We start from the raw sequence: 18123 nt of genomic DNA on the forward strand, positions 1-18123 counted from the left end.
AGAGCCATGCAAAAGCATTAAGATCCAAAATTGAAGCAGCTTGCCCAATCAGGTCAGAAGGTCAGCAGGCTTCAAAAAGAAAAAAAGAGTCCAAACAATAAATGGAGTGGGAAGAAATTTGGAGGTTATTAGGGATATGATGTAGAAGGCAAATGTTTCTTCTATCAACAAGAAAAAAGAAACATAATCAGAAACTTCTGGAAAAACAAAACATTTCTTATGAAAGGGATAGCCTAAATATGAAGCAGTCCAAAATGTGGCCTGATTTTGAGCATGTGGTGGAATGTAAGAAAGGCTCTAAGCGCATAGGGTCTGTCATTGGAACAGTGGTGCATGATATGGACTGTTTGGCTCTGCAGTAAAGAATATTTGCTTAGTCATAATAATGTAAATGCTGCTTAGTGGCTTTCAACTTCTAAAATCAACAACAAAGCACTGAAGACTACTTAAGAATAGCTATAAAGGAGTACGTAAAGAGTTTCTGGCTTGACAACATAAAAGAAGTTGGAAAGTAGAAGAAGAGAGAAGAGGAACTGTGATAGATTAAATTATTGTTCCCAATTATTCACTGTTCTCCCTGAAAGAGGATTTCACACCCCCACCCGATGCCATATGGCTTGCCTGCCCTTGTAGGAGAATACTTCCTCCCCTGTCCACTGATACCCGGTTTGGCCACGTGACTCGCTTTGGCCAATTGAATGTGAGTGGAAATGACATATTCCATGCCGAACAGACACGTTAAGAGGTGGTGTGAAGTTCTGACATTGTTCTTTTCCCTCTCTCCTGAAAATGGCAGGTCTCAGATGGGGGATGCCCTTCAACTAGTTCCCAGAATAAACAGCACATCAGAAGCAGGCCATGGCATGGCATGTGAATCAGAAATAAGCCTGAGTTGCTGAGATTTTGTGGTTGTTGGTCTTGTTATTGTCCCAGCATGACATATGCAAAGCTGACTAACAGCAGATGGTAGGGTAGAGGCATGAATACCCCAATCATATAAAACGGGAGTCAAGAGATGCTGTCTGTAGTTAATAGACCAAGAAATAAAAGTCACCAAGGTGACCAATAGATGAACTGAAATAGTTGATGTGTTGGGACAGTGGGATGAGAGTGAACTGCTGGAATCATCTGGAAACAAGAGTAAAAGTGCGCTGAGGGGTGATATAAGCAAGCTGGCTTGTGTGTATTACAGCAGAAAGTGGATAGGTAATGTCTGAATTTGATAAAACATGAAAAAGCAATATAAGTGTACTCTTTGGAGACTGGGGAAGCATCAGAATTCCCAGTCTTTCTGGCATCATCAATTTTCCTGTCTACTGGCTCATTCCCAGCAGCACACATCCATGCTGAAATTGTCTATCTTCTAAAAATAGCCTCTCCTGATCCATTATCCCCTCTGACCTGTGCCCATTTCTTTGCTCCCTTTCACCGCAAAATTCCCTGAAAGAGCTGTCTGTATTTGCTATCTCCAATTCCTCCTCTCTCATTTTCTAGTGAACTCACTTTAATCATGTTTTTGCCTCCATCACTCACTTACACTGCACTTGTCAGGGTCGCCAGTCTCCTCCAGGTTGCTAAATCCAGTGGCCGGTTCTCTGTCTTCCTCTTCCTGGACCTATCAGCAGCACCGGCCATAGGGGCTCACTCCCTCCTCCTGAAATGCTTTCTTTACTTGGCTTCTACAGCACTACTCCCTCCTAGTTTTCTTTTTACCTCAAGGCTCTTTGCTTCCTTTGCCTCTCTTGACAACCTCTAAACTTTAGAGCTCCCCAGGGCACTTGGTCTTCTTGACCCTGATCTTCTCTTTTCTGCCTGTATTCACACCCGCAGTGATCTTGCCCAGCCTCTGGGCTTTCAATCGCATTTTTATGATGATGACTCCCCAGTTTAGATCCCCAGCTCAGGCCTCTTCCCTGAACTCTTGAGTCATATATCCAACTGCCTTCTCAGTGTCTCCACTTGGAAACCAAAAGGCATCCTAGACATAACGCATCCAAAACCAAACTCCTGGTCTTCTTCCCCAGACCTGCTTCTCCCTCCTCTTTCCCCATCTCAGCAAATGGCGACCTCCCAGTGGCTCAGGCCAAAAACTGAGACTCAACTTTGACTCTTTTCTTTTTAACCCCATGCCCAATCTGTTAGGAAGTCCTCTTGGTCTGCTTTCCAAGCCTGATCAGTATCTGACCACTTCTTACCACTCTCTGATTCAAGCCTCCACGTTCTCCTGTATTACTGCAGTAGCTTCCTACATGGTCTGCTTGTCCGTACTCATGTCCCTTAGAGTCTGTCCACAAGATGGCAACCAGAGTGCTACTTTTTAAACACGAGTGAGTCGGATTGTGTCACTTTTGAGCTCAAAACTTTCTAATGGCTCCCATGTCACTCAAAGTAAAAGCTCGAGTCCTTATAATGACCTGTAAGGACCTAAGCCAGAACTTTCCAACAGAAATATAAGTCACATAGAGAATTTAAAATTTTTCTAGTACATACCTATATCATAAAAAGTAAAAAGGAATAGGTGAAGTTAACCTTAATAATACGTTTCATTTAACCCGATATATTCAAAATATTATCAACATATAATCAATATGAACATTATTCATAAGATATATTTTCTTTTTTGCATAGTAAGTTTTCAAATCCGGCGTATATTTTACACTTATAGCACATCTCAATTTGGACCTGTCCCATTTCAAGGGTAATTTGAAGTGGATGTGTTAACAGCATCCGAATTCCTTCTGAGAAATGGCAAGGGACCCAGCTGCCATGGGAGTGGTCAGTTAACGATGATACAGAGGAAGTTTGTGTCTCAATAAAGTGTAGATAGCTTGCTAAGCAGAGGAGGGCTTCCTTCTGAGTGCCTTCAGCAGCATTTCACTCTTAACATGCTCCTACTGTGTGCCAGGTCTATGCTAAGAGCTGAGGCACAAAGTCAAAGAAGATGTGGTCCCTGCCCTCAAGAAGCTGACAGTCTAATGGGAAGGCAGGCACTAATGAATACAGACAGTAGTGTGTGCTTTAATGGAGGAAAGGATGGGCCATCGGGGCCCATTTCATCCAGTCTGCAGTGGTTAGGCAATGCTTTCCTGGCAAACTTGGCCATCGGGGAGATGAGCAACAGGCTAAACAGAATGACCTGGATGGTCTAAATTAAGTGCCGTTTCGAGTTCAACATTAGGTTCATGATGCCACAAAGCATCATGAAAAGGGAGATGAACTAGAAGCCAGGAGGTTTCAGACCTAATTCTGGCTCCTCAGTAGCATGGAACCTTGAGCAGGTCACTTAGCCTCTCTGAGCCTCAGTCTTCTCACTTGTAAAATGAAAATAATAATCTCCGCTTGGGCATCTGACAAAGTCATGATGCCCTGTTAACTGTAAAGCACTCCACAGTCAGAACAGGTTATTGTTACCAATTAATATTAGCAAAATCCCCTTTGCACTTTTAAATTGTAAATTGACAATTTCTAATTATATAAATTTGTGGGGTACAAAGTGATGCTATAATTTATGAATACAATGTGGAATAATTACATCAAGCTAGTTAATGTATCCATCATCTCAAATACTTAACACTTTTTGTGGTGAGGACATTTGAAGTTTACTCCCTTAGCAACTTTGAAATGTACGATACTCTATTATTAACTATATTTACCACACTGTGCAATAGAACTCAAAAAAGGGAAAAAATCTTACTTCTCCCATGATTTTGTACCTTTTGACCACCATCTCTCCATTTCCCTCGCCCACCTCAGTGCCTGGCAACTACCATTCGACTCTGTTCTTCTATGACTTTGATTCTTTTAGATTCCACATGTGAGAACATGCAGTATTTGTCTTTCTGTGCCTGACTTATTTCACTTAGCAATAATGTTTTTCAGTTCCATTCATGTTGTTGCAAATGATAGACTTTCCTTTTTTAAGGCTGAATATTTATATACCGCCTTTTAAGGCATATATACCCCCTTTTCTTTATCCATTCATCTGCTGATGGACACTTAGGTTGATTCCATAACTTAACTATTGTGAATAGTGCTATAGTAAACATGGGGTGCAGACATTTCTTGGATAAACACATTTCAAATTTTTTGGGTAAATACCCAGAAGTAGGATTGTGGGTCATATGGTCATTCTATTTTTAGCTTTTTGAGCCATCTCCATACTATTTTCCATAATGGTCCTATAATTCGCATTCTCACCAACAGTGTACAAGGGTTCCCCTTTTCTCCACGTCCTCACCAACACTTGTTCTCTTTCATCTTTTTAATAAAAGCCATTCTGACATGTCCAAGAAGAGAAAATTATAGGCCCATATCCTTAATGAACATAGATGCAAAAATCCTCAACAAAATACTGGTGAACCAAATTCCACAGTGCATTAAAAGGATCATCCACCATGATTAAGATTTATCCCTAGGATGCCAGAATGGTTCAACATATGCAAATCAATAAATGTGATACATCACATTAACAGAATAAAGGACAAAAACCATATGATCATCTCATTAGATTCTGAAAAAGCATTTGACAAAATTCAACATCCTTTCATGATAAAAAATCTCACCAAAGTTAGGTGTAGAAAGGTCGTACCTTAACACAATAAAGGCCATATATGAGAAGCCCACAGCTAACGTTATACTCAACGTGAAAAGTTGAAAGCCTTTCCTCTAAGATCTGGAACAGGACAAGGATGCCCACTTTTGCCACTTCTATTCAACATAATGGAAGTCCTTGCCAGAGCAATTGGGCAAGAGAAGGAAAGAAAAGGCATCCAAATAGGAAAGGAAGAAGTGAAATTGTCATTGCTGATGACATAATCCTATATATAGAAAACCTTACAGACTCCACCAAAAAACTGTTAGAATATGTTAGAGTATAATACAATTAAGTTGTGCAATACAAAATCAACACACAAAAATCATTAGCAAAATCCCCTTTGTTCCCAGGATCATTCCTGGGGTATTTCTCTGAGTGGCAACTGGGGGTGGACAGGGTGACTAACAAGCACTTCCACCTTTTTTCAGTAGCTCAATTCCATGCAGCACATGGAGCTGAGACCTAGGAATTCCCACTGGGCACCCAACCAGACCTCCCACACGTGACGTGCTGGCTTGAAGGGGAAGGGCACACGTTCTCCAGGGCTTAGTTCAACACACCAACTGGAAGCTTTCTCCACTGTACTCCCCAAACCCTGGGCCTGTGCGAGGGATGCGTCTCTGAGGCTAACTTTACAGTTTGGTAAAAGGCTGTGGGGAACATCAAAGTGTGGACTGAATGTGTGTGTGGGTGGGTGGATGTGCACCTGTGTGTTTGTGTGCACAAATGTTCCATAGACTTTACCTATAGTTATTTTACAATAAAAATTAGAGCATCGTTAATTTCTAGGTCTGGGTTTGAAAATCTCTGTGTCCATATACCTTTGAGGCACATACTTGGTGGTGGTTTATAGCACACTTGAAGCCCCACAATCTGGGGCAGGGTAGGGTAGCAGGTGTGTCTTCGGCATGGGAACTTCCCAGTGAGAACTGGGTGCTGGGTTTCATTGGCCCAGGCCCAGCACATACTAGAAATGACATTCCTAGGGGAAAGCGGAGGCAATGGGAAGGAGACCATATTTTCCTAATCAAAAGGTAGGACACGGGGATTCACCATGCATTTATTTTATGACAGACCATAAATTACATTGATGAAGTAACTTTTCTTGAAAATAGTAAAATGAGATAAGGCCAGGACTGCCCTTGAACCTGGAATTTGTAGGGGCCATGGCCAGAGCCCCCTGTTGAGCAGAGCACTCAGTCCAGCTCTGGTCTCTGTTGTGTGAGAAGTTTGACCCTGAGGCCAAGAGCAATTTGCTGTTTGTGGAGAAGAGCCTGCCTTGAAACCTCAACAATGAAAATGGTTCAACTTTCCAAGGGCCAAAGAACTTTAGGGCGGCTGCAACCCCTTCAATTTACGGACAAGGGAAGAAAGGAGGCCTCCTACCACGTCGAAGGCTCTGACCCACAATTTCACCATCAGTTACCCTGGCTTCGGGGCCTCCCTGCCTGTCACAGTGCCTGGCTTGTCCTGGAGGGTTAATTCATATTTGTCCAGTTAACTGAACACACCGCTGTTAATGAAGACCTGGTGAGGACTGCGGAGGACAACTGCACAGCCACATGACCTGTCAGTGACCACATCAATCAATGCCTGCCACCAGGACCCTCTCCTCACTGCTCCACCCTTGTCCCTCCGGAACAATGTTATTGAGATGTGTTTACATACTACACAAGTCACTCTTTCAAAGTGTATGATTCAGCCAGGACGTGATGGCTCACACCTGTAATCCTAGCACTTTGGGAGGCCAAGGTGGGAGGATCACGAGGTCAGGAGATCGAGACCATCCTGGCTAACATCGTGAAACCCCGTCTCTACTAAAAATACAAAAAATTAGCCGGGCATGGTGGCGGGTGCCTGTAGTCCCAGCTACTTGGGAGGCTGAGGCAGGAGAATGGCGTGAACCCGGGGGGGCGGAGCTTGCAGTGAGCCGAGATTGCACCACTGCAGTCCAGCCTGGGCAACAGAGCAAGACTCCGTCTCAAAAAAAAAAAAAAAATTAGCCAGGTATGATGGCGGGCGCCTGTAATCCCAGCTACTTGGGAGGCTGAGGCAGGAGAATCGCTTGAACCTGGGAGGTGGAGGTTGCAGTGAGCTGAGATCACGCCACCACACTCCAGCCTAGGTGACAGAGTGAGACTCTGTCTCAAAACAAACAAACAAGACAAAAAAACACACAAAGTATATGATTCAGTGGCTTTTAGGAAATTGGCTATAGCCTTTTGCTCCTTCCTCAGCCCTGGCTTCCAACCTCACTACTTGACCACTGTTCTTCCAGAACCTTGGAAGTTTAATGTGACAGGAACACCTTAATCCAGGTGCTCTTGGGGAAGGGTGATCGTTTGGGAACCTTTTTGCCGTTGCTGTCTCCAAGTTCTGCCAGTGCAGGAATCCACGTCTCAGAAGACAAAGCTCACATCAGTGTTGCTGGTTGGCAAGACGCGAGCAGCCTCCAGGCTATGGAACATTGTTTCGATGATTGTCATCTTCTATTTTCTGTTTCATTTGAAAAAGAAGCATGTCACCGAGCAGAAAACATTCTCAATGAAAATGGAATAGCACAGAGACAGTGGCACAGGTTGAAATGTGGGGCATGTGTGTGATGGAGTGAGTCACTCTCTCTGGGATGGATAAGTTGTGGCCCTGGTTGGAGATGTTGCATTGGTTTCAGAAGTGTCACTCTTAGGCCAAGCTGCAGAAGGGAGCGCCGACAGCAGATCAAATGGAAGTGGGTCCCCTGGGTCACATCTCAGAATGGCTGTGGTATAATGCTCCCATTTTGATTTTCTCTGTTAGCAGACTAAGCACATTTCTATTCATGTCTCAGCTCTGATCATTAGATTCTCCTCCCCTGAAATTTTTCAGGAGCTCTCCATTGTCCACTGAACCAAGTTCACATTCCACATTGGACCCACGAGGGTCCAGCGAGCTTTACCCATTCTTTCCCTCGCTTTATGTAGGCCTTTATTTGGGAGCATTGTTGCTCCTGCTATACCCTCTTCCTGGTACACCTTCCTCCATCATCACTGTCTAACTCCTAACCAGCCTTCAAGACCCAACTCAAATGCCCTCTTCCGAAAGCCTTTCCTGACCATGCCAGTGAGGTGGGCTCTTCCTTCCTCAGAATGGTCAGGTCATGTAGGACGTTCCTCTTGCTCTCCTTGAGATTCTGGTTCTTTGGTTGTCTTAATCCTTCTATGGGAAATCGTCTCCTTGAGGGTAGGGGCTGTGCTTTACTTATCTTCTATTTCCAATCGCAACTAGCACCTTTGTAGTAGGTGTTTGCTGAAGTGAAGGTATGTTTGCATATTAACTACTGGTAGGAAAGGTGGAATCAAGAGCAGGTCCTTGTTCTTTTAACCTAGTGGACCCTTCCCCAGGAGACACAGGCTTTCCTGTCACTTCTTGGCCTTCCTAGCTCAGAGTTCTCAGGGCTGCATGCAGAATGAGGGCAGATGTGTTGTCCTGCAGCGTGTGTGTCTCTGAGGAGTCCTTGGTCCCCGACCACTCAGGGAGGAACTGGAACAGAGGAGAGTTGTTGCTAGGACAGATGGCCTGGTCTGTGGGGGACTTGTTGGAGCAGTTATGATGTTACTGAGAAGAGCGGGGCCACCAACTCTAATTACCCTGTGAACTTTCCAGTTGTGTAGCTAACCACTGATGAGTGTCAGAGGAGTGGTGGAAGGGATCAATCTTAGTAAACCTTGTTAATAAAGATTGGTTTGGTCAATAACCATCAAATCTAAGTCTAAGGGGAAGTTGGATGAGGAGCAGGATATTTATTTGCATGATTGTAAAGTGTCTACCCTTGGAATGCTTCTAACTTACACAGGGAACATGAGAGAGTGCAGGAACCAGATAGCATCTTGACTGAGTGAACGCAATTAACATCATCTGAATCCTGAAAAATTGCTAGGTGAAAGAACTCAGTCACAAAAGGCCATGCATTGTGTGATTCCACTGATATGAAATTTCCACAGTGGGCAAATCTGTAGAGACAGTATGTCGGGTGGGGGGTGAGGTTGGGGGGAAGTGGGGAGTGACCATTAATGGGTATGAGCTTTCTTTTGGGGGTGATGAAAATGTTCTAAATGTTCTAAAATTGATTGTGGTGATGGTTCCACAAAGCTGTGAATATACTAAAAGCCACTGAATTATTCAGTGGGTGAATTTTGTGATATGAACATTGCATCTCTGGCCTGGTGCAGTGGCTCACTTCTGTAATCCTAGCACAGTGGGAGGCCGAGGTGGGTGGATCACCTGAGGTCAGGAGTTTGAGACTGGCCTGGCCAGCGTGATGAAACCCCGTCTCTACTAAAAATACAAAAATTAGCCAGGTGTGGTGGTGCATGCCTGTAGTCTCAGTTACTCGGGAGGCTGATGCAGGAGAATCACTTGAACCCAGGAGGCATAGGTTGCAGTGAGCCGAGATTGTGCCACTGCACGCCCTCTCGAGCCTGGGCGACAGAGCAAGACTCCTTCTGAAAAAAAAAAAAAAAGAAAAGAAAATTGTATCTCAATAAAGCTGTTAAAAATTAACATCATCAACAAGGGACCGACATCATGTACCTCCTGATATGATATCCTGAGAGGAACACAATAGCACTTTTGTAGTCTTCTAGCCAGGGGTTCATAAACTGGATCTGCTCATGGGGAAACATCAGACAAACCCAAATTGAGGGGTGTTCTACAAGGTACCTGGCCTGTATTCTTCAAAAGCATCATTGTCATAAAATATTAAGGGAGTCTAAAACACATGACAGCTGTATACAAAACGTAATCTTGAATTACATCCTGTACTGGAAGAAAAGAGAATCACAATAGGACATTATTGAGACAATTGACAAAAATTAGAATACAGATTGCAGATTAGATGAAATATTGTATCAATATTTAGCTTCCTAAGTTTAACTGTGCTATGAATATATAAGAGAATATCTTTGTTCTTTGGAAACACATTGAAATATAAAGAAATAAAGAGCCATGATGTCGGCAGCTTATTCACAAATGGTTCAGAAAGAAACAAATAAGAATGTGGAGAGAAAGAGAATGGCAAGACAAATGGAGTGAAATGTTAAAAGTTGGGAATCTGGGTAAAGCGTAGACCAGAATTCTTTGCATTATTTTTGCAACTTTTCTGCCAGTTTGATACTATTTTAAAATAAAAAGTTAAAATATTTGGCAAAAAGCCAAACACACTCATACGGTTCAGACATAGTGATTGCACCTAAATCCAAACTACTGTACTCTAAGCCAGTCACATCCTCTCTCTTATCACTTCCATAAGGTCTACCAGCCATAAGTAAGTCAGGGGCTATCTGGGGACCACAGGAAAAAAGTCAGGGCACAAGGTGGCATTGATTTGCAAGGCCCAGGCCCCCAAAGGAGATTTTTCCAGAGATCCTTACTATTAAAACCCTAAGGGCACACAAAAGTTTATTGCAGCCATTTGGGAGTATGAGGTGTTTTTCTGCTCCATCAGCATAGGCTTGATGAACTAACTCAGTTAAAGTGAGTTCCAGGAGGCCGGGGTCATTGTGCACACCCAATTCCCTTCAGTGGCCCATGGATCTGAGCAGGCTGCCTTTGCAGGATTCCTTTGGGGCTGATCAGGAATCTGAATGCTTCAGCCAGAGCAGATCCCAATGCTGCAGAGCTATTTTGGAGAAGTCTTCATTTTCTTCGTTATTCCTCTTTTTGACTTAGCATGGAGTCCAGAAGTTGTCCATGGACCTCAAAGAAACACCTCAAATCAACAACCAGTGACTTTGCCATGCCGAGAGGGCATGAGAGAACTGCCCCTTTGCCTTGGCTGCTCTGAGAGGTCATGTGGGTTGAACGTGCAAGTGGAATCCTTCCAGGAATTGCCCTGTGGCCTGACTCAGAAGGGAAAAAAGTAAACATTACCATCTTAGGCCCAAATAGCTGGGGTTCTGAGGCTCAAGGCAGAAAGGGTGGTGAGCTCTGATGCACCCTCACTCACAGGTCAGGCTTGGCCAAAAGGCTCGGGTGGTCTTGCGTCCGACTGCCCATGGCTGAACTCTGAGGCTGATACATCCTGAGCACAAGGCCCTCAGTGCTTGGGAATTGATTGGGGCTAAAGGGAAAGAAAACTCAGGAAAGTCTTGAGTCTGGCGAGATACCCAATTACTTGGGCCCACTCTTGGGTGAGCCCACTGTGTGGTTTATTTTTCCTTTTAGTTTCCCTTCTGAGCCCAATACATCTCATGCCCAGGATGTTCTAGATCTCTCTGTGTGAGTTTCCCTGAGGACTTAGGAGCTAGGTTACCCTGTTTCAAGATGTCGGTCCTCAGGAAATGCTTGGAGGTCAAGCAAAGCACTTCTTGAAGGAGGACTTAGGGAAGGGAGTGGGTGAGTGGCTTTGTCTCCCAGGCCTATTTCCATCTCATTGTTTCTTATTCTTCATGGGGTTCCCTTCCCAGCATCATGGGAGCGGACTGCCACCAATCATGGGGGGAAAAGAGTGTGATTCTTAACATGCATCTGAAGACAGTCAGCAATGGCTGGGGTTGGTGGTTGGGTGATGGGTAGAACGTGCATTGGAACCAGGCATCTACTCTTGGATTATCTGGTCTACCTGCCACTCTAATTTTGAGTTTTCTAACTTAGCATGTGGGTTACTCTTATCTCTTTGATTATACCTTTTTTGTGTGACTTCCTCTAGTGGAGGGCCCACTGCAGGGCACCCAGTAGAATCCCAGCCCTACTTGCTGGGTGATAATGAGCTGGGAAACGTGCCCCTTTCTCAAGGAGAGTGTGGCTTCTGCTGGCTGAGATCTGGAATCCTGGCTTCTCATTCCAGCTCATCCTGTTGATGGGAGCCTCAGCGCTTAGCCTGATGCATCTCATGCATTCCGGTTCTGAATGACTAAGAAGCCTTGCCCTAGCAGAGGTGGGCAGGGGAGGAGGCTTGACAGGTAGGCCAGTGGCTCCCACTCCCCTGCCCTCCCCCATGCATTTTCTGCTCTTCCCTATCCTGCTCTGGACCCGAGGAGGCCGACCTCTACGGCCTGCATCACCAGTCCCCTTGCCCTCGAGCTTCCAGGTGTCTTAGCCAATGGGAGGCACTGGTAGGCATGGAGGAAAGGAGGGAGAGTTTGGGGTATTGGTTTCCCATTCCCTCCAACTTCCTGTCTATGACCACGAATTCCATTCTACAGCCCCCTTCTACTACCCCAGCCCTCTCCGCCCAACAACAGCCTTCCCTCTCCCTGCCCCTCAGGCCCAAGGGTGGGAGTGGCCTCCTGCTGTTGCTGGGTACCAGCATTTCAGCCTCCCATCCTGCCCAGACCTCTGTGTATAGTTCCTTCATGAAGACCCTGGGGGTGGGAGCCTTTGCTTCCTGCTGGGACCCCCTGGTCACACAGAGATGTTTGTTTTTAGCACCCCTGACTAGACTGTGGGGTCCTGAACCACCAGCCTTGGCATACTACTGCTCCCCCACCGTCACTTCTCATCCCACCCACCTCCACCTGGTTTTCCTAAAGATGTTGGTTTCTAACACAGTCTTCCTCCTAGAAGCTCTGAAACAGCCAGTACATGGAGCCAGGGCTTCCTGCCGTCTGAAAAGTGTGGGTGTCCAGCTTGCAAATGGCTCTGGTGCTCAGGAGATGCCTCAGCTGGGGGAGGGGTGGAGACTTGAGAAGGTGCTAGGCGTGACTCCCTGCCCGGCTCCTGCCTGGGTAGTTCTGCATACCCCCCATCCTCCCGTCTCTCGCCCACGCTTGGCTCAGAGATCTCTGGGCTGCACCTCCTGCCCAGAGGATTCCCCAGCAGCAGAATCCTGGTTCTGCCTGCTCTCCTCCCAAGAAACCCAGATGGCTGGAAGCATCGCTGCCTTCCCGGAATGTCATCTCCCTCTTTCACCTGGAGCCTTCATTTTGGAAGGTGCAACAGCTGCCCAGCCCATTGCTTGTGCCTGGGCTTACCAGCGATTCCTCCTTACTCTTTCTGTGATAAACAGAAGATATTGAAAGCAAATCGCTACTCAGTCCAGGGTACTCCCCTCTCCCTAGGACCTACCGTTTTGCATTTTTGTCCCCCACCACCCTTTCTTCTGTTCCTCTTCCCTTGGAGAATGACACTTGCTTAGGAATGGAATCCTCAGTTGCGTGGTTTGATTTCTCTTCCTCCACTCACAGAAAGAACCTCCACTGTTTGAAATGTCAAAGCCCCCAATGATTTCTTGTTATGAGAAGTCATCAAAATACGCCTATTATGTTTTAAGTCTTTACAAAAGACACCAAAAATTAGTGCATCATCTACTTGAAAGAATCCCTTTTGATAGCCATGCCAATTACATTTTTAAAAGGCATAAAGGTTCTAGTAGGGTTCTTCTGATTTTTTTCCCCCTCTTGTGTGATTTGTGTGCAGACTTCTGAGAAGCAGGTTTTATAATAGAGATTCAGCCAGGCTAAATCACAGCGGCAGAAGCTTATGCAACTGCTAAAAACCTATGAGTTAAAAATGGAATAGTCTTGCAGAGTGGGGAAGGTAATAATATCAGTGATGAGAAAATAGAAAGTAATAAATTAGTATTTCAGCAATTCAGGTCTCTTACCCACATTTTTTTTTGTACCAGAAGGTCTTGGTGCCATTTTTCCAGAATAAATTCAAAGTGCAACCTCTTAATAGAAAAAAATCAAACTTTGCTTTCACCAATTCAACCCTCTGTCCCAATTATTCCAGGATCAAGAGCCCTTTTAACTGACTTTTTGCCACCATGTCACAAAACACATCTTATATTTGCTGGACCTTGTATGATCAGTAATTCCTACGAAGGAACAGATTTTAGATTTTTATAAGTGGGTTTTGTTAATTTGCTATTTTAAAAATACTTGTGAGACCTTTACAGTTGCCATGGCAATATAATTTCCATAAACATGATTTTTGTGGGGATTTTTGCACATTGAAGGCTGAGGTTGATATGCAGTGTTGGGGGGAAGGTAGGTGGTGAATTTGGCAGCAACTCCATTGCTGCTTCCCGCAAATGCTGCAAATAAGATTCCAAGAATCCATGTTAGGACAGAGACCTGGATTTCTAAACAACACACTTGACACAAAGGGCTTCTTGGAAGTAGATCTGGTTGGGGGAGAAGGAGACCAGCCTGTTCCTAGGATGAAGCCAGTAGGGTGGTGAGGCCGGGGCACCTGCTCTGCTAATCAACAGTCCTGTCCAGGCCAGATTGACCTGAAATCTCTTCCCGAGCCTTGCTTTCAAAAAGCCTTTGAAGACTGTCCGTCCTGGAGCTATCCAACGGGTGGTGACGGCCCCGCGGGCTCTTTTCTCAAACCAGATTCGTTCAAAAAGCCCATTTACCACACTACACTGCTAAAATGCTGAACATTTGCAGTGGAAAATAACGGAAAATAGAAACACAACAATATTAGCTATTAAACAAAGTAAGGAAACATTGAATAAGAAATAGTTTTATATTCATCCTGAATGCCAGTGGTTGAGGGAAAGCAGATTTAATGAGAAGAGGTAGATGGTCCCGATGGCCCTAAACAGCATCATTTTTCTCAGTGATGCCAGACATTTGTTATGGCTCACAAACAGGGGCTTGCCAGTAAACTTTATTTCCCAGAGAATGAGCTATACAAAGAGATCGAGGGAGGAGATGAACAGGTAAGACAGAGAATTTTCTAATAGCCAAACACACATTGGAGAAGAAATGACAAATAAAAGCATTTAAAAGTGGAAGCGTGCCAGCGTGAGATGGATGATTCTGCCGAGGGGTCTCTAGTGAGCAGGTCACGCATTTGGCACCAGATGCTGCCTAATTGAACACCTGAACACAGCTGAGGGGCTTGAATCATATAGAATTATGAATCATAAAGAATTATGAATTACTAGAAAGCTATTGTGTTGACATTATTATTTATGTATTGTCAGAAATGCGAACAGGGCACCCCGAGGAGGAGGTACCAGACTACCTGTCTGGCTGAGCACTGATCTCCATTCCTTGGAAGCCAAACCTGAGACACCCGGGAGAGGTCATGTGCGTGCCCGGGAGCCTGCACACCGGCATCCCACATGTGCCTAAGACAAGTGCACATCCAGAAGTTTGCACAAATCAGAAAAACTCAGAGCACCAGCTCCACTATGCACAGTCTCACACTTCACACCAGTGGGAAAGGTCAGGAGACTGTCCATTCTGCAGGCTCTGGCAACGGCCGGCAGCTGCTGCTGATTTGTGATTTGTCAAGTGTGTTTATTGAAAAAGAAAGAGTTTGTGCTTCTAGAGTAGTGAGGTTTCGGTGGGCCTCATTCCGAGGGTGCTGAGGGCTGTGAGTCCCACTGCGGGTTCAGGGCTGCCGTCAACCCTAGGCGGGGTGGGTTGTTCAGGGCCTATCAGCACTGCTCCAAGGGCTTCCCAGGCATTTTTTCTTTGCCCTGAAATAGTCCAGAGGAATTTGGCAGGGACAGCTTCAGGAATGTGGTTCATCGCCCCATCCAGAGTGGGAATTGGAACCAGAACGCTGCCTGCAGCGCAGCTCCAGCCTCTTCCTTCAACACACATTTAATTTTTTTAAAAAAGTTTAAAGCATCAGTAGCAGGCAGCTTGACTGAGGCTGGTGGGTGGCCAGGAGGAGAGGGAAGGAGCCTGCTGAGCAAAGAACAGCCAGGTCTGGTGCCTGGCTGCCTGCTGCCCCCTCTGGCAGCCACTGTCCCAGCTGTGGGGAGGAGCAGGCATGTCCCTTGTCCCTTGACTTTGGCTTTGAAAGGAGGCCCAAGGCATGAAATGCAGTGAGGAGCTTCGCCCCTGCGACGTTGCTCTCTGGAGGACACCTCATTGCTCCAGGGACAGACCTTGCTCCTGGTGCCAGGAATGAGGGTGGCCTCTCTTATTCTCTAGAAGTAAGGATAAGCAGAAGCAGAAACGCCGACCACACTGTTAAGAGGAGGTGGGGTGGCAGACAGAGGTCCTTGTAGGGTCCCTAGCAAGGGGACCTTGCTGTGCCCACACACAAGGGGACCTTGCTGTGCCCATGCATGTGCCCACACGTGCATGCTTCCCCAAGTTTTGGTGTCTCTTTTCTGGGGATGACTTTTTTTTTTTTCTGAAGGAATACCTCCTGGATCCAACGGTATCACATGATGGCTGTATGACCTTAGGCAGGTGACTTAACCTCTCTGTGCCTCAGTTTCTTCATCTGTAAAATGGGATCATAATCATACCTATCTCATAGGGCTCTCTTGAAGATTGAATGTTATTACATATAAAGTCTTAGAATAGCACTTTGCACATATATATAGTGAGGCTTACATGTTGTCCTTATTATTATTATCCTTAGAATTTGTGCTGGGGTGAAGCCAGCCCTCCCATTCCAGCTGTGAGAGGCCCAATGCTCTGTGACCCAGCAGGGCCACTAGGCTGTGAGCCTGTTGAGCACAGGGTGAGTCTTCACTCAGCTCCGCACCTCCATGGCTGGTACAATACCTGGCTTGTAGCAGGTGCTCAGTAATTTTGGGGCCAAATAGCTTGTCAGGGACATGGCTGATGTGCGGTCCCACACTGCAGTTCTCAGACCTCAGAATCCCTTGGGACGCTTGGTAAAAATGTAAAACCCCAGCTTCTACCCTCAGAGATTCTGACTCAATATTAGCAGAAATGGAGTGGGGCCAGATAACTTGCATTGTTTGAAAAGCACCCCATTTGAGAAACACTCCTGGGGAAGCTCAATGTAACGTACCCCCAAAGCCTGGGATTGAGGGACAAGAGGGAGAGCCAGGAGTGGCTACTCCCAGCTGTGGCCTGCCTGCGTGACCCTCTTCTGCCTTCAGGACTGGGAGGGGATGGTGGGATCTGCGCTGTCTGGTAGAAATACTGAAGAGGGGTAGAGCCTGGCAGGGAGATAAGTTAGGGTTAGATTTGGTTTGAAGCATTTTTAATCTGGAGCTGCTCTGCAGTAAGGTGAGGTCAGTGGTTCTTAGAAATACTAAAAAAGAGCCTCCAAGACAGGCCCACAGCTCACTGGTCCCTCAGGGTGACTGCCACACATCAGGGCTCCTCCTGTCCTCAGCTCAGCCCCCAACCTGAGCCCCGCCCCTCCCTGGAGGCCCTCCTTCACAAGCCCCCTGCTGGATGTTTGCAGGGCTCCAGGCTGGAGTGATGCCCTCCTTTCTGCTCAGGGCTGTCACCCGGAGCTCTGGTGGCTCCTCTGGGTAAGCAGAACAGTCAGTGAGATTTCCTTGAGGTTCAAAATGTGGCCTTTGGAAAACAGCTGTTAGTGTAACCCAGCAGCCCAAGAAAAGACATAATGGAGTTGAGTCAGGAGGCGTGTGCTTTTATGGAGCTGTGTGTTTAAAGATACATCTGAGGTTTGTTTCTTAGCAACAGGGATCATCCAAAGCACATTGGCAGTGTCAGAGCAACCAATGATGCCCAAAACCACCCTGTAAAATACAATAGAAATCTACAGAGTAAGAGGGAAGAAGCTAAGCACAGTTCCTCCAACAGGTGGAGAAACTCAGAAGGCTGAACAGATGCAGTCGCCATTGTTTTAGACTAGACAGCACCAGGGTGAGAGAAGTTTCCACCCCACAGGGGCCAAGCCACCTCCCTCCACCTGGCTTCCTTCTGGCCAGAGCAGGCTTTTCTTCAAGGAGCATCATGCAGAGAGCTCTTGCCTCTTTGAGCTCCCTGCTTCCCCAGCACCTGGAGCTGCAGCATCCAAACAAATGATCATTTATCCTTCATATGTGAAGGGTGAGGGCTGAACCTGGGAGAAGATATTAGAGACCTAAATCCAGAGGTTCTTAACCTTGTTTTTGTGCCATTGGACCCTTTAGCGTTCTGATGAAGCCTTGGACCCCTTCTCAGAATAATGGTTTTTTTAAAAATGCATTTTTAATGCATTTAATACATAGACTTTAAAAGCCCCAATGATATTGAAAAAGACTTATTAAAATATTTTTAAAAGCAAATTTGTAGGCCAGGCACTGTGGCTCACACCTATAATCTCAGCACTTTTGGAGGCCGAGGCGGGAGGATCACTTGAGGAAAGGAGTTTGAGACCAGCCTGGTCAAAATGGTGAAACCCTGTCTCTACTAAAAATACAAAGATTAGCCAGGCATGGTGGTGGGCACCTGTAATCCCATCTATTCGGGAGGCTGAGGCAGGAGATTTGCTTGAACCCGGGAGACGGAGGTTGCAGTGAGCCGAGATCACATCACCGTCCTCCAGCCTGGGAGACAGCGTGAATGGGACTGTCTCAAAAACAAAACAAAACAAAACAAAACAAAAACTATAGAAAAAAATTTGCATATAGAAACACTGTGCTTCTGTATTGATGTATTAAATAAGAAGATCCAGTGGAGGGTCTAGGAAGTACCATAACTTCGAAATAGTGATAAGTGCCAATGATATTTTGAGAAATCGACTTCTTGACCGTAGCAGGAATATCTATGGTTTCCTGCTACCTATTTGGTGATGAAGACCAGGTTGTGTTAATATTACTTTGGTTATTGTCTGCATTTATAATGAGAGGGAATGCTAAAATT

At 45.7% G+C, this 18123-nt stretch overlaps 1 protein-coding gene across 2 annotated transcripts in view, besides 1 other annotated feature; it reads left to right on the top strand.

Annotated features, from left to right (window-relative positions):
- STUM (stum, mechanosensory transduction mediator homolog) overlaps nucleotides 1-18123 on the top strand; it is a 60467-nt gene that overhangs the window by 4633 nt on the left and 37711 nt on the right. The gene's annotated exons all lie outside the window — the stretch shown is intronic.
- Nucleotides 14607-15107: an enhancer, noted in NCBI's record as "H3K4me1 hESC enhancer chr1:226755704-226756204 (GRCh37/hg19 assembly coordinates)". NCBI's record gives its function as "activates a minimal SCP1, AML or CMV promoter by ChIP-STARR-seq in naive H9 embryonic stem cells {active_cell/tissue: H9 hESC(naive)}" and the evidence as "EXISTENCE:reporter gene assay evidence [ECO:0000049][PMID:30033119]".

The sequence above is a fragment of the Homo sapiens genome, chromosome 1 (genome assembly GCF_000001405.40).
Source record: "Homo sapiens chromosome 1, GRCh38.p14 Primary Assembly".
NCBI lineage: Eukaryota > Metazoa > Chordata > Mammalia > Primates > Hominidae > Homo > Homo sapiens.